This window comes from Homo sapiens, chromosome 4 (genome assembly GCF_000001405.40).
Source record: "Homo sapiens chromosome 4, GRCh38.p14 Primary Assembly".
Classification (NCBI taxonomy): Eukaryota; Metazoa; Chordata; class Mammalia; order Primates; family Hominidae; genus Homo; species Homo sapiens.
The window spans coordinates 138,379,342-138,396,789 of NC_000004.12; the positions used below are offsets into that span (position 1 = coordinate 138,379,342).

Here is a 17,448-nt window from a genome sequence, read left to right on the forward strand (position 1 = left end):
AAATTACCTCTCGACAGATTTGATAAATTGATCATTACATTCTTCGTAAACCTCTTTTTTCTTTGTTTAGGGAACCTCTAGTTTTTTGGATATCCTCCTCCTTTCAAGTTGCTAGACAATAGCTCCTTTAATATCTCTCTCCTGTAGTAAATTTTTCAATGTTGAGATTCCACTCATAGCTTACATTACCCTGAATATGTTATTAACATGTTTATTTTGCAGGAAAGCATTTGTTTACTCTTTACAGTCTTCCCTCTCCTTTCAACCTTCACCATTCTTTGGCAGGTAGCTTCTGAACTGGATCTTTGTTTTGATGAGATAGTGAGTGGTGCTCTATTGATGACAGGAAATAAGGGAAAGCTAAACTTACAGAAATAAAGATTTATTGTGGAAGATGGGGGTGAGGCAGTGGTAAGGGTGAAGTTAAGGATTGTAGAAAAAGAGGGTAAGAGATGAAGCAACTGCTGTTGAGAAAGAGCCCTTGGGAAAGAGCTAAAATATTTCAAGGGAACTAAATGAGAAGCTTTGCTATGCCATGAACATCCTTTCTTGTCTCACAAAACCTTGCTAAGAAATGCATATTATTCATCAATATTTCTGAAACTGAATTTGTGTGGGGGTACTTTTTATTTTTTGTCTGTTTGGTTTGGTGTGCAAAGGTATGTTGAAACTGCTCTCAGTTGGAGAAAATTAGGAACAAAAGTGGCTTAAGTTCTGTGTCCTGTTCAGTGCTGCTGTCTCAGCTATCCATTGACTATCCAACTGCATTCCTCCCAGCCCCACTTCAGGCAACTCAGGACCCAACCTGGCCTAAAGTAAACTCAAAAACCTGTTTCTTTTCTGCCATTTCCCATTCAGTAAATGACAGTACCATTCATCAAAGTTGTTTCTACCATAAATCCTGAAGGACAGCTCTTCTCTCTTATCCTCTACTTTACAGCAATCGCCATGTTCTACCTCCCTGATCCATCTCAAATCCATCCCCTTCTCTCCTGACCCAAGTACCTTCATCTCTCTCTCTGGAAGTATTGCTAAAACTTCCTAGCTGATCTCTTGCTTCCAGTCTTTTTCCTTTCAAAAATCAGAGTAATCTTTAAAATGGATCATATCATTAGAGTAGGGCTTCCCACTCTCTTAGAATAAAATTCAAACTCCTCATATTTACTAACAACACTTTTCGTGATATGGCCTCTATTCACTTTTTCATCCAACGTCACATATCCTCCTTTCTTTTCGCATTATGTTCAAGGCACACGATTACTCCTTCATTACTCTGAAGAGCTAAGTAACTTCTTGCCACTAAATAAGTTGTTTCCTTGGCTTGAAAGCCCCATCCCCACTCAATCCCCGATCTTCGTCTAACCCACTCCTTTCTTCTACTCACACTTCCTGTCTCTTTGAATGTCACTTCTTCAGAGAAGCTTCCCTAGCCCTGCACCTCCCCTAACTCCCCTGTCCCTCCCAGACTGATCAGGTCTGCGTTATATACTCATTTTGTTCATAGCACTTATTTCATCTATAATTAAATAACCTTTGCTATAATTACTGATGTCTGCTTCTACTGCAGACTCTCAATTATATGATTTGTGATGTTGTTGGTGGTGGTATTATGTTGGTGAACTGCTAATTATTTAATGTTGTGTAGACAGACATTCCTGGGACTACTATTTCTGTGATAGATTCTTTTAAGGCTAAGACATTAAAAATTAAAAGTTCTATAGATAAATCATATTTATATTTGTTATTTATCTTTCTCTCATTACTTTAAAGGAAAGAGAACACCTAAAATGTCCAATAAGTATAGGAAATTAAGATTGAGATGAGGATAAGACTAAAATAAAAATTCTGGGAATTTCAGCAGAATGGCATTCTTTCTTCAAAAAACATATCAATCACAGGCAAGGACAGAATCTCACACCTACAAGTGCAATTTTTGCACATCTAGAAATAAAGAACCAGTGTCCATTTCAATTCAAATATTACCCTTATTGCTTAGGGAGCTCACAAAAGTAGTTCATTAGTGCTACCTTGGGTGACAGGTTTTTGGTTCTGTCATTATATCTTCTAATAAATGAACTGATGATATGAATCAAATTCACTAAAATCTCTGTTCATCCTGAGTACATTGTAAAAAATCAAAGTCAAGATTATGTGCTCCATGGTATTTCAGATGTAATAAAGCCTAAAGCTCTAACTGCAAAATGAGAATTGTGTGCAGTGAGCTATCTTATTTAACGCAAAATGTTTTGGGGGCTAATAGCCCATGGCATACTGCTCATCAAAATGGACCAAGAGAAAAGACATGTGTTAAATCAGGGCTGACTCTATTGGCACTCACAACTATTTCCAACTCTAAGAGAATCAGTATAAGCACATCTACCCCCAGGTATCTTAGAGGTCCTTCCCTGGGAAGCCACTTTGGTCCATTTCTCCATTTAACATATACTACTTATAATTTTTTTATTTCCTCATTTGATAGGAATTTGATGTGTGTTTAATATATGTTCATGGTATATACTGCTTTAGATTCTATGGAAAATTATAACATGAAATACAGACTCACGGATTTTAAAATAGGAAAGTGATATTTGTAACTTTGACATACACATGTAAACAAAACTAGTGGACAGCTATTTTTAAAAGTGGATATTCTTTTGACATAAATCACATGGTGGGTTTTAAGTTAATTTCAAAATAAAAGAAAGGTCATTGTGGGATAAGTTAAGTCTAAGAAATATTCTTGGAGGGACACAAAAGAGTGTAAGATTTTACCTATACTTTTACCTATAGCTTGAGTGTTTGGTTATGGGGAGTCAAAGAGAACAAACTGGCTGATGTTTGGAAGCAGTAAGAGAAAATATTGATAAGGTGGGGCCACATTAAGAAAGATTTTAAATACTGGATTGAGAAAATCTGAACTCATTAAAAGGGCGAAGTGTTATATTCTTAATGAGAGTGACATAAAAGTATACAAAAGGAAATTACAGATTAGGGACTATATATGCAAATATTAGAAAGACACGTTAAGAAGTTGTGGTAATACAGGTCTAAATTGATGAGGGCCTTGATTGGACAGATGAGAACAAATAACATAATAATTAAGAGTGACACTGAGAAATAAGAACCTGTAGGCTTAGGTGATTGGTGAGTTATGAGAGATTTTAGGAGAAATAATTATGAAAAAGATGAACGTTTTGATATTTGGAATTAGGAAGAGTGGTATTTTAATCAATGAACTTGGAAAATTAGGAGGCGGGCATCTATTTGAGAACTACTTGAGTTTTGTATTTCAGATTTTGCAGTAAAGACAGATTCTAATGGAACTGCCAAAATGTTAGAGTTGAGAGATTCATAGGACCTATGGGTTCAAGTCCTCAGCAGGATTCAGGAATCCTTTCTATAATATTCCTCACAGAAGTATGAAACTTTCTGTATTTAGGAACATTACTAGGAACCCCTTCCTTAAGTTGAATTAAAATGCACTCTCCCATAACTTACACCTAAATTTTTCATTTCTACTTTCTGGCTCAAAACTGAACAAGACTATGTCCTCTTCCATGTTATAATTTCCAACTATATTATAGTCATTGTGTTCCCCCTTTAGTTCCAGCTTTTCAAGAATCCCCTAGTTCCTTCAGATGCAGCTCATTAACATAACTTAGAAACTCTTTATTAACAGAGATGAATAAGGCATCACAAATATCTCCCAACTATGAGAACCACTGATGCTATTTTAATCTTATAGTTGAATTTTATAATAGTCTCTTACAAAAAAAAGGGCAGGCAACTTTCTTTTCCCTAAAAGTAAAAACTATAAAAACTACATTCAAAATTAAAACATCTTAAGTCTAATAAAAGCCCAAGATCAGCAAGTCTGAGAAACCTGTGATTGGACTTGTAACTTGAATGAACAAATAAATTAAAAAGAATCAAATTCAATTTTCCAAAGGATTGTGATTTTCTGCCTTTTTCATGCAACAAATTTGGCAGGCCATAAAGATTTTTGAAAAATTATTGTTTTTATTATCTGATCTTTCTAACAATGCATTTGCTTCTAAACTTTGAAGTGCATTCATGAAATAGAAAAATCCATTTGAGTATCTATTATCACGGAATGGAGACTTGATTTGATGAAACCTCCATACAACTAACAAATGTTTGCCTCCCCAAATGACTTTTGCGCTGGCATTATGCTTCAGAAAATAGATTATTATTATTTATGATCATAATAATGCATATTTACATAATAAGTTTCTCAGAGGAGTTAAAACCCATTTTTGCTTATTCTACAGCACTTTTCATTTGTAAAAGTCAGAAAACAGCAGCTTTGTTGTTGCAAGTGAAAAACTGTGTTAGGAAGGCACAGGCCCCTCAAAGCCAAAGTCAGTACTCAATGTGCCAGCAGTCAGAGGATACCTGTGATTCAACACTCCTGTGATGTTTAATTTTTCCATTCAGTATCAGCAATTCTTATAAAACACAAAATTTTAAAAACTTTAAAAACATATATCAAGAACTATAAACATTTACTGTATGATCAATGTTATATGACATGGAAGAAGCGGCCCAGCCCCAAATCTAATTGAGAAGACAGGATTTCAAAATAAAAAATAATTTGAGACACTTGTGAAAGAGAATATAATGACCCGTTAAGGGAAAGCAGTAGCTAAATTACAGGGTAAGAAGTAAAAAGAGCTCTGTTTTATTCCCTACTCCAAAAACAACGTGAAGCTAGTTATTTATCCCACCTGTAAAACACAATAAAACTGCACACTACAATCTTACCCCAGAAGGATAGGTGAGGATTAAATGTGGGTGTCTGGAGTTTCACAAATGGTGTTGTGATCTACGAATTGCAGTACCTTCACTTTGCTTTTATAACACATTCATGGTCCTTACACACAAGAGTCTACCTTCACCTGTCTAGATATTACATCAACATGCCTCCAACATCCATCTTTACAATCTCCTGAGGATGAGCTGAAGACCAAGCTAAAAATACGATTCAGTGATTGCATATTAAATCATACAAGGTTGAGACATACCAGGTCTCAATTTACTTTTGTAATACAAAATTAACCTTGTAGGTGCAAAATCACAGTATTATTTTATAATTATAGATATATCCTCTATATTTATTAGACATTACAAAATACCTGACCTTCCCAATGTAGGTTAGCTAATTATTTTGTATCTAGCAAGAGCAGATTCATTAAACCTGCATCTCAGTATAAGTGTGACTAACACTTTTTCATCTTACCAGTTTCTATTACCATTGTTTGTGACACATTAATTAGATTTCATATTCAAGTATTAAAATTAAAAAATTTTGCTGAGTGCACCCCAGTGACAGTTAGTTGTTTATAGTATCAAACTGTTCGTGAAAAATGGTCATAGATAACATTATATTTATTTATCTCTATATTTTTAATTCTCTCTACTATAAGCCACTTTGGGGAAGGAAAATTAATTTTTTAAAATTCATGTTTGTACCAATAGCTCCTAGAAAGACATTCTGCACATGGTACACAAATAATACCTATTCATGGCAAGCTTGAAAAATAGTTGGACTGAAATGAAAGACATGCCTTTTTCAGTGCATTGTGTTGTTATATGAATAGAATGTTGTCCATTCATTTTGCTCAGTTTTAACCATTTTATCATATTCTCATTTATATGGGCTTTAAACAACTGCAAATCTAAAGCCCAAGATATCATCTAATGAAGCTGTATTTACTTGTCTTTTCTTTTAATGGTCATTTCCTAAAATGCATATTTTAATAATATAAAATAAAATGCCATAGTGCAGGCATATAATATATAATATTGAGAAATTCACTCTTCTCAAAATGAGTAGAATCAAGGTATGGACTCATTTGAATTACTGCAGATTGCAAAAGATATAGAAATCAACCTTTCTTATTTTTTAATTTCAAATATTCATTTTGAGAAGAAACACATCAATATTCAAATGTGCATAAAAACCTTCAAGTAAATAAAAATTGAAACTTGAAAGTTATTTTGTAAGTATAAAATCAAGAAAATTTTTGATATATATATTCCCTCAACCATCATATTTTCTTTCTTAGAATTTTCTCATCCTGCAACTTTATGTTTCTCTTTCTTTTCTGTAAAAAATGCAAGAAGAATTTACTTGCTACTTACTTCCTCTGAATGGAAACATAGGCAGCCTGTATTTTTAATATAAATGTTTGAGTTTTAAAATAACTAAGAAAAAATTTCAAATGTCTCCCCATAAAAACGATGGGTGAATGAAATGATGGGTATTTTAATTATCTTGATTTAATCAACCATATTGTATACATATATCAAAAATCACATTGTACCCCATAAATATATACAATTATTTGTCACTTAAAAATAATGGTAATAATAAGAATTCTAATATATATTATAGAAACCCTTTATATAAAATAGGAAAAATGAAGGTGCAAAGACAAAGCTTTGGAATTAGGTGAGATGTTCTCTTTTCACCATAAATGTTCTATATCCCTTTGTAACATTGGTGCACTATCAATTTGACTTTACTCAAGTGAGCTACAATGTTAATTATTTTCATATAATTTATTTAGTTTTCACTAAGAGTAGAAAACTATTAGGTACTGGTAGAAATGCAAATGAAATAAAGACCCTGGATCTTAAAAAGCTTAATGTAAATTTGTAGGGACAAAACATAGACCCCAGAAATGAGGAAGAATAATTATAAATAAGAAGTCAATAGGTGCAAATCATATTCTAATTCTACCTATCAAATACGTGAGTCCTTTAAAAAAACCAAACATACAAAAAACGATGGCTAACAATAGAGGTGGTTTCACAGGTTAGCAAGGACTAGGCCTACAAGAAGGCTGCACAAGTTTCAGCAGATGAGGTTCAGCTTTATTTCACATTCATTTGAAGCAGTCTCACTGGCTACAGTGTTCATATTGAAACAGTGGATTAATAAAGACAGAAAGATGACCAATGACTAAGTTATAAAAGTTGTCCCATGATACATCAGCTTTGATCCTGGAGCACTTCTATATTCAATCCTCTCTTGCTTTCCTCTCTGTTTTACATCAATTCACTTTATTTCTAAGTAAATACAAAGTAAAATTATATTAAATGTCAATTAGTAAATAAATATTAACCCTCACTGGAAGTTCAGAAATCAGTACAATTTATTTTGCATCTTCTTTTTATGCTGCTAGATAAAAACACTGCTTTTTTTATTATTATTCAATTACAGTGAATATCAGAGTGGGTTTGCTCACTAATACTGTGATCAGAGAATTTAAGGAAACTGTAAAAAAAAAAAAACAAGCAACAGATTTGTTTTCCTTATGGAGGTTAAATTACATGTGGAGAAATAGTGGTATTCTTCTTTTTCTACTCTCCAACTCTGAAGTTCAGTTTCAACTTAACTTATTGATTCTGTTGTATAGCATTTCAAAACTTAATGAAGCACGTCTCAGGTTTTGAACCTGGAAAACAACAATATCCAAAACCGCAACTTGAAACCACTGGTAAATACAAAAATAAGGAGATCCAAAAGAGAGCAAGCATTAGCAAAAGCGCCAAGCAGACAAAATCTAGCAATTGCTGCAATATCTAAAATACAATAGTGCATTCATTCCTTCTAAAAAAAAAAAATACTTAAAGTGAAAGCTCTCTGTATTTCAATTATAAAATTATGCTGTTTTTCCCAATGGTGTGTATTTGGGTCTGTTGAACCAATATAGCCAGGAACAAAGAAAACTTTCAGCCATATTTGCCTCTAATCAACTTTATCAAGAAGTCAGTATAGGCCAAGGTGCTGGTTCCCAACTCTTACCTGCAGCCAAGCTTCAGAATCACATGGAGAGCTGCTTAATTGGACTTCTGAATCTGCCCACCTTAGGGGTTTTAGGTTAGGCTTAGGGATAGGGGACTGGCTTTCCAGATTTTGTTTTCCAACAAGTTCCCAGGTGGCTGGTACTGCTGATACTGTAATCACCCTTTATGAACACTGGGCTAAAAGAATTCGGACAAAGGAGATTGTCAATAACTGAAATATGTCAACATTTGGGTTCCTCGGAATCTAGCTGAACTGAGAATTTCAATCAAGGAATTTAACTGCTGATGAACGTACCATGTAGAGGCAGCAAATATTTTTAAATTGTTCTAGAAATTACCTAATAAATACTTACCACATGTAATGTCTAAAATTTATCTCATGTACCTAAGAATCGATTTTATTTTGACGACAAGGAATGACAGGTCCAGGAGCAATGCTGGAAAATTGATTTGTCTTACATCCCCACCCCCTCCACTCCTGTTATCACTGTGTGCCTCTTCAACAAATGTGTGCATACGTATACACACAAAACATACCCTTTGCCAGCCCACCGGGAAAACCGCACAGCAGGGACAAGTACACAAACGGAAGCCCACATACCACATGTCTAAATAGTTGAAAGGTATAAATCCAGCTAAAAACTACTAAATAAAATATGCTGTATCCACTTACCTTGATAAATACAGTTTCATAACAACTTGACAGGGCGGGTTCTAATTCAGAATATGCAGACTCAGTGCTTTGTGCCTAAATATTGAGGCTCTAGGAAAACCAGTTCCCCGCTTTCAAGACATTCACCTTCTTTTTGGAACTTCGGCTTCAGCTTATACTATGAGGGGCCTGGGAATTTGTGTACACCCCACAAAAACAGCCATCATCCCTTGGCCACCCTTTGGGTCCACTGCATGGATGCCGTGGCATGGTCTGCCTTCGAAAAGTGGTCCCAGAGAAGATATTTGCCCGCATATGAGGAACAGGGGCAAGGCCCTTTCGCAGGGCAACTCTGGGCTCTCTGGTAGCTGAAATATGGTCTAAAGGGGAAATGTGGGCTCTAGGTGGAAAAGTTCTATTGGCCCCTGCACAAGTCTCACCCCACAGGGATGGTGTGGCCAGAGAAAGTAAAAGTAGGACCTCTAAAAAAACAGAGTCCAGGGAAGCACTATACTCCTCTTCAGTGACCTAGGATCCTCAGTTATTACATATTTTCCCATAACTTTTCGTTTTCTTTTTTTTGAGACTCTGTTGCCCAGACTGGAGCACAGTGGCCCGATCTCAGCTCACCGCAACCTCCTCCTCCCAGGCTCAAGCAATTCTCCTGCCTCAGCCTCCTGAGTAGCTGGGATTACAGGCACGCACCACTACCACCTGGCTAATTAATTAATTATTTATTTATTTTTAGTAGAGACGGGGTTTCACCATATTGGCCAGGCTGGCCTCAAACTCCTGACCTCAAATGATCCACCCACCTCAGCCTCCTAAAGTGCTGGGATTACAGGCGTGGGCCACCACACCCGGCTATCAAAACCGTAAATACTTAATTCATCCTAAATTGCAAGCAATTGTTAACAGAATAAAGTGTTTTTCCTCCTAATGACATTTTTACTTGTACTGAAGCTTCCATTACAAACACTCTGATGGCTGAGTTTGAGGTCTTGGTATAATGAGAGGGCAGGAGAAGTGAGTCAACGGGAAACAGGCATTGCTTCTTATTTTATTTTTTGAGTCCCGGGGTACATGTGCAGGATGTGCAGGTTTATTACATAAGTAAATGTGTACCACGGTGGTTTGCTGCACCTATCAACCCATCACCTAGGTATTAAGCCAAGTATGCATTAGCTCTTTTTCCTAATGCTATCCCCACCCCCATCCTCCCCCAATAGGCCCCAGTGTGTGTTGTTCCCCTCCCTGTGTCCATGTGTTCTCATTGTTCTGTTCCCACTTATAAGTGAGAACATGCGCTCTTTGGTTTTCTGTTCCTGCATTAATTTGCTGAGGATAATGGCTTCCAGCTTCATCCATGTCCTTGCAAAGGACATGAACTTGTTTTATGGCTGCATAGTATTCCATGGTGTATATGTGCCACATTTTCCTTATACAGTCTATCATTGATGGGCATTTGGGTTAATTCCATATCATCGCTATTGTGAATATTGCTCCAGTGAACATATGCATGCATGTATCTTTGTAACAGAATGATTTATATTCCTTTGGGTATATACCCAGTAATGGGATTGCTGGGCCAAATGGTATCTCCAGTTCTAAATCTTTGAGGAATCATCACACTGTCTTGCACAATGGTTGAAATAATTTACATTTCACCAACAGTGTAAATAATTTACATTCCACCAACAGTGTAAAAGTGTTTCTATTCCTCCACAACCTCGCCAGCATTTGTTGTTCATGGCTTTTTAATAATCGCTATTCTGATTGGCGTGAGATGATATCTCAGGCCTTGCTTCTTGATGCTATTAAGCATCTGCTCATGTATTCCCCTAAAGCAAACTTTGATCAGCAGAGGTGAAGGACACAGGAACCAGGAGGCCTGAGTTCTAGTTTTGTTATGCTCTAAACTCATTTTTGCTGCCTAAATCAAAAGACTTTGAGAAAGCTACAACTTCTCTACCATTCAATTTCTTATTTTAAAAAGTATAGGAAAATTAGAGTAAGCCAAAATTTTGCAAAAGGTACCCTAAAGGGTGTTAGTAGATTCTACTTGAAAATAGGTGGCAAGGGAGGTAGTAGCAGGGGGTGACCCACAGTCAAATTAATGTACTTCACATTGAGTTAAATATTGTGAAAGTTTATTTCCTACTAATGTATATTTTAATTATCCAAGAGTAGGCATAGAGTATATAGTGTTCCTTAATGTTATTAGAACAAGGAATTACTGTTTAAAAGTGCATCTAATTGAATTAGTGACACTCAGAACACATGTCAAAAGTGAAATTCAGTGTAGTCTCCTGAGAGATGAAATATGTCCTTCAAAATAATTTCACCACAATACATTTTCCAACTCAGGGGATTTTGATTTTTGTCAGTTTGGTCTCAAGGCAAACAATGAGTGTTAATGTAAAGAAATAAAATGCAATGATGATGATATAGGGATGGCAAATTCCTTTGGATAATATTCTGTTTATGTGGAATAATGAACTAATTCAAGATTTTAATATACTAAAGTATTTAAAAAATTAAGTTATTGCAGTGATTACAGTTTCCTGTTGCTGTTATAACAAATAACCACAGACTTAGTGGTGGATCAGATGATGATTAGTTATCTATTGCTGTGTAACAAAGTATCCCACACTGTAACTCAGAGTCCTGAGTCACAATGCCAACGTCAATCTAGATGTCAGCCAGGACTGAGTCATCCAAAAACTGGACTGGGACTGGAGGATTCACTTGGCCCCCACCGTTGCTGGTTTTGAAGCTGGAGGAAGGGGCCAGGGATGCCAGTGGTCTCTAAAAGCTGGAAAAGGCAAGAAAATAAAATCTCCTCTAGGTTCTGCAGGAAGAAAGTAGCCTTCAGATGCTTTGATTTTAGCTCTGAGAGACTCACGTTGAACTTCTGATCTGTGAAGCTGTAAATACACATAAATTTCTGCTCTTTGAAGCCACTAAGTCTGTGGTTATTATAGCAGCAATCAGAAATGATGCAATCACTGTCGTAATTTAATTTTTAATAATTTAGTATATTAAAATCTTGAATTAGTTCATTATTCCACATAAATAGAGAATATTATCTAATGGAATTTGCAGTCTCTGTACCATTAGCATTGCATTTCATTTCTTTATATAATATTCAAGGTTTGCCTTGAGACCAAGTTGACAAAAATCAAAATCTCCTGAGTCAGAAAATGTATTGTGGTGAAATTATTTTGAAGGACATATTTCATCTCTCAGGAGACTACACTGAATTTCATTTTTAACAATAATTCTTGTGGGAACTGTTAGAAGAGATGGGACTTAAAAATTGCAAGGACAAGTCTGAATGGGATAGAAGGTTGAAAATGCCCACTTAAAAATAAACTTGATTGTTTAAAAATTTGTGTATAAAAATACTTCAAACCATTTTATGTCAGTATTGGAGTTAAATCAGGGTAGAAAAGAAGATATTAACTTACCCAGTAAAATGTACTTAATATTTCTTATCATCTGAAACGTGTTTTCATTTGAATACCTAATAGCAATGTAGTATAAATGTTAGGGGAGACTATAAAGAAGCTTAAGACCTAATCACTAATCTTGGAACATGGACAACCTAAATGAGAATACAAGACAAAATATTAAACATTAAATTACAGTTAAAATTGACATCAGAAGAAATGACAAACTAGCAGGTGATTAATTTCCAAATAAATGACTCAGAGAATAAATTATATAGTACTTCAAATGAAGGAAATATGATCAGAGAGACAAGGAAAAACACCATAATGTAGATAGTATTTTATCTAGGTCTTTAAAATGGCAAGAAATTGTATCGTATAAAGAGGAAAGGAATGCTAAGCAGCTACTTAGAGGTAGGAAAATACTTCTATCATTATACAAATCACTGTGTATTACAGTTATTGGTTACCTGTTTAGGAATTCCTTGAAGATAAGATCATGTTTGACATTTGCACACCAGAATTTATACAAGTCCCAAGCACATAGTACAAACTCAATACATATTTTTATTGTATATATTTCAGGTAAATAACATGATGTTTTCATATACATAGTGAAATGATTACAAGTAAGCAAATTTTACATCACCTTCCATAGTTAATTCATGTCTGTGTGTGTGTGTGTGTGTGTGTGTGTCAAGAGCATGCAAAATATATTCTATTAACAAATTTTTAATGCAATATTATTAACTATAGTCCTCCTGCAGCACATTAGCACTCTAAACTTATTCAACCTACATAACAACAAGTTTTTATCCTTTGAACTACATCTCCCTATTTTCTTTCCTTCCCTACTCCTGGTAAACACTATTCTACTGTTTCTATGTATTTGATTTTTTTCTTTTTAAGATTCCACATATAAGTGAGATCATGCTATATTTGTCTTTCTGTGTCTGGCTTACTTCACTCAGCATAATGTTCTCCAGGTTCATCATTGTTGTCAGTATGTCCTTTTCTAAGGCTGAAAAATACTCTTCTCTGTGTGTATATCACAGCATTTTTATCCAATTTTTATCCATTATTCAGCAACAGACACAGGTTGTTTCCATACCTTGGCTATTGTGAATAATACTGCTGTAAACATGGCAGCACAGATATCTCTATGAGCTATTGATTTCATTTTCTTTAGGTACATATCCAACAAAGGGATTCCTTAGTCATATGTAGTTCTACTCAATAAATATTTAGTGAGTGAAACAGATGACTGTTAAAACAGTGAAGTGATAGTGAAAAAAATCATTTTCACAAAAATAAGTCTGAAAGTATTTTATGAGATGAATTGAAGTCCAAAAAGAGACTTAGATTCCTGTTAAAACGTTGTATTAACTTCCTGAGAAGAAGACAATAAAAACATGAACTGAGGGTTGACAATGAGAAAGGAGGGGATCTAAGAGGATCTAAGACACATCAGTAAGAAGGAAATGACATAATCTGATGAATCTTTAGATCTTGAGGCAAAAGGAGAGTCAAGACAAAGTTTGAAATTTGGATTCCATCTGACCATAATAGTGATGCTGCAGTTAACAAGAAGGAGGAAACGAGAGTGAGAAGACAATTTTAAGGAACTTCAAAATGTTGAGTGAAGTATGATACATACAAAACACACAAGCACCGTGGGAGTGTGCTCCAGTAATTCAGGAGGGAGGATATAAACTTGAGAGCTATTTCACACAAACCATAATTGGAGCCATGTGAGAGGATGAGATTACCAGTGAACACCAAGAAAGAAAAGAGTAAAGACACAATTTAGGAAGCTCCTGCATTTAAAGAAATAAAGGAAAAAAAAGAAGCTAGCAAAGGAAAGAGAGAAAAAGCAGAGATGCCCATGGGAGGCATGGGACAGATAGAACAGGTCAGCAGTCAGGGCCAACTGCTTCAAAGTGAGAAAAGGGGTCTTCCCGTTTAGGAAGTGGTTTTGGACGTGTGTTAGGTGGCAGCTTGTGACCATTGAGCAAGTACTTTCAGAAGAATGACTAAAAGAGCAATTAAAATCATGTATCTCAAAAATCTTTTTGATTCTGAAATTTATTAAACCAAAAATTGACATTTGGAAACTAAAATAATGGCACTCTCCAATAAGAAGTGTCCAATATGCCATCACACCTTCACTTCTGTAATTTCTCCTGGGTGTATATTCAAAGTAGCCCAAGTAATTGCAGGTTAGTGGAGCAGCTAATGGCCAACATGCCCATCTGTGCAAGCTCAGGTGTGTGTGTACTGGAGGGCTAGGGTTCCCCATACCTTGAATCCAGTCTGAGAACAGAAAGGACCCAGGAAATTCAATTTTATCCTGGTAGAAACAGAGATCTATAATCTAGGTGATCCCAATGCTCTTCTAGTAGGGGATTCAAGTAAATTGTGGGCATTTCTTTATTCTTTGGGGGGAGGCACCTAATGTCTGAAGCACAGAAGAAAGACAGCAACCAATCTCCCAACAAAGTGATTGATGCAGTAACATTTTCCCATGATATACACCATGAAGTAGAATAGAAACAGTTTCTTTTAAGACAAGGACTACCTTTACCAAATTTATAGTAAGAATATACAATGTGCCTGTAAGATGAAAACAGGTTAAATTAGCAAAACCTTGGGTTCAAAAAGGTGTATCTTACAGGCCAGTAGATGAAGTACACTGCCTCTGCTCATGCTGACATTTTTGTCAACACACTCTGCTGATTATTCAGGATAACATTTTTCATAATTGGCAAGGCCATGCCCCCTGCGTGGACTTTCTCAGTGAATGTTGAAAATTGCTAAATACAATTTATGTAATTTATTTTTGTCAATGACTTTATTAGTACTTCCACTGCTGAACTGTGTTTGTGGGTGGATGTGTGTATGAAAATACAGCCTTTACTTTTTCAAAAAAGAAGTTATATAATTTTACACTTCATAAATTTAACAACCAAAATGTTATCTGTAAAAAGTGTTTCAGAGAAGCACTGTTTTACCACTGACTGGTTTGATGGGAGTTGATTAGATAATGGTTCTTCAACTGTGTGTTGTTACTGATACTGGCCACATTCCAGTTGGCTGCCAAGGTGTCTAAATGCTCCCAAACAAAAATTACCCATAAAACCTGTGACAGGGTTCTCTGAGATCATGGATACAGATCACTGCACATATGGATGGGCTGTTTTGACTGAGTTTATAATGTCACATTCCTTGTAAACATGATACACCTGTCTCTGTTTAACAGATAGTTTTTGAAGCTAAAACATTTGTTTTCTCCCAGAACTCAGCAATGCCACATTATTTACCGATCTGAACCTGGGAGTCACTAAAACATTCCAGGATTCCAACTATTTCATCTTCAGCTACAATAACCCTTTACTTAAGTAAATTAGCAGAAAAAAATCTGCTTTGTTTTGTCATAAAAGGGGAAGTAAAGGAGAGACAATGAGAGGATCAAACAGTTAAAGGTTTCCATTACCTTTAAGAGATTAAAGACACAGATTTGTAACTATTTTCATTTTTTACATGTTGAAAGTTATGTTTGCTGTTAGTGTTACAAAGAATCAATCACAAAAACCTTCTGTGAGCATCAAGTATATACAAGGCACTGTGCAACAGACTTACAAATTTGCAAAGAAGTGTATCCCTGTTGTCACACTGCTCCAGAGGGGCTTACAACCCATTTAGGAGGATAGGATTGACACACATGAAAAGATACTAAACTGGACAGTAAATAGGTGTCAATCATGTGCAAGGTGGGAATAAAGCAGCTGATGAATGGCAGGTGCCTGTGTCCATCGGAAACAAGGATGAAAGCTGCCCTTTGATTTAAGACCTGATCTGCTGCCTGCCGAGTCAATCACTGGTTGCTACTGTGCCCCTCATCTCAAAATCACTGACTTCAAATGAGCCACTTTATTAGTGTAGGCCTCAGGATTTATTTGCAGCCAGGGCCACAAAATATATATCAGATTTTCAGCTCCTCATCCCCAGCGTTCTGCTGCTAAGCTCCAACTACAAACTTCCATTCCCAAGGTGCATACACATATTCACACTCATCTCTATATTTACTGGATATATCAATCAAAATAATAACATTAGGAAGGAAACATTGGTGCCAATACTTACATACTGCTAGGGCATTTGGAGTTGGGGGTTGAATAATTTCAGAACAAAACCCTTGGGGGTGTATCTTCATAATTATGATGTATATAAAGTGGTGTAAGATAGCAGCATGGAAAATGAACAGTTTCTGAAAAAGAAAACACACTCATGGATTTTGTTTGTGACTATAAGACTTAACTGTTATAATTCAATATTGGTGGATTAAAAATTGATCTTAGCTATTAGATCTTCTCATAATTCATTACTCCATTCCAAATACCTTTATCCAATACCTACCGTATGCCAGGTTCTGTGTGTGATAGGCACTGGGAAGACAAAGATGAACCAATCAGTCTCTGCACCCAAGAAGCTTGCAGTTTAGTGGGGGAGAGACAAGAAAATAAGCTATGGAGAAGTATGCATGTGATTCCACAGAAGAAGAAAGGAGGAAAACCAAGACGGAATGATGCCTGAGATGAATATTTAAAAGATAAAAAGAAAGGAAAAGACACAGCAAGAAAAGACAACACATGTGTTGTAGGTTCATGGGAGCCCAAAAATAACACCCCTTTTCTCAAAATAAGAATCAATTGAGATATAATCCAAAGAAGACAGTAGAGGGGGACTGTTATAAACTGAGTGTTTCCCCTCAAAATTCACATGTTGAAATCTTAACCCCCAGTGGGATGGTATTCGGAGGTATTAGGAGGTGGGGCCTTTGGGAGGTGATTAGGTCATGAGTGGAGGAGTCATAAATGGGATGTCTTTGTAAAAGGGACCCTGAAAATTTCTTCATCCCTTTCTTCTATGTAATGGTGCGGAAAGAAATTGGCAAACTGGAGGAGGGCCCTCATGAAAGCCTGACTGTGCTGGCACCCTGATCTTGGGCTTCCAGCCTCCAGAACTGTGGGAAACAAATCTATGTTGTTTATAGTCCACTCAGTCTATGTCTATGGTGGTTTGTTACAACACCCCCAACTGATTAAGACAGGAGCCACGAAGGAAACCTTAAAAGGAGGCTCAGGTGGAGGATACTGGTGGCATCTGTGGGCAAGCAGACTCTAATAGTGATTTGGTCAGACAGCCAGTTGCAGGCAATGCTGGACCAGGAGAACATGAGGAGCCAAGGAGAATGGACCGGCTCCCGATAAAAAGAAAGAGAAGGAGCTGGCATACTCATGATCACTTTCTCTTTCCAAACCCTCCGATTAGAGAAGCCACAATCTACCTGCTCTGGAGTGAAGAGTGTGAGGATATGAAAAGGGAAATAAAGTCAGGAATGTTATTCTAGTGGAACTTCCTCCCTCATCATAGAAACACCAGACTAGAGAAAGAAATATTCCCTAACATTGCGCAAATGCACAGACATGAAAGAGTGTGGCATGACAT

The 17,448-nt window shown here is 36.1% G+C and overlaps 1 long non-coding RNA gene across 1 annotated transcript in view, besides 1 other annotated feature; it reads left to right on the forward strand.

Moving 5' to 3' along the window:
* Positions 1–17,448, forward strand: part of LINC00499 (long intergenic non-protein coding RNA 499) — a 114,634-nt gene that overhangs the window by 69,631 nt on the left and 27,555 nt on the right. The window lies entirely within an intron of this gene.
* Positions 13,329–13,408: an enhancer, noted in NCBI's record as "active region_21912". NCBI's record gives its function as "activates an Ori minimal core promoter by ATAC-STARR-seq in GM12878 lymphoblastoid cells {active_cell/tissue: GM12878}" and the evidence as "EXISTENCE:reporter gene assay evidence [ECO:0000049][PMID:35858748]".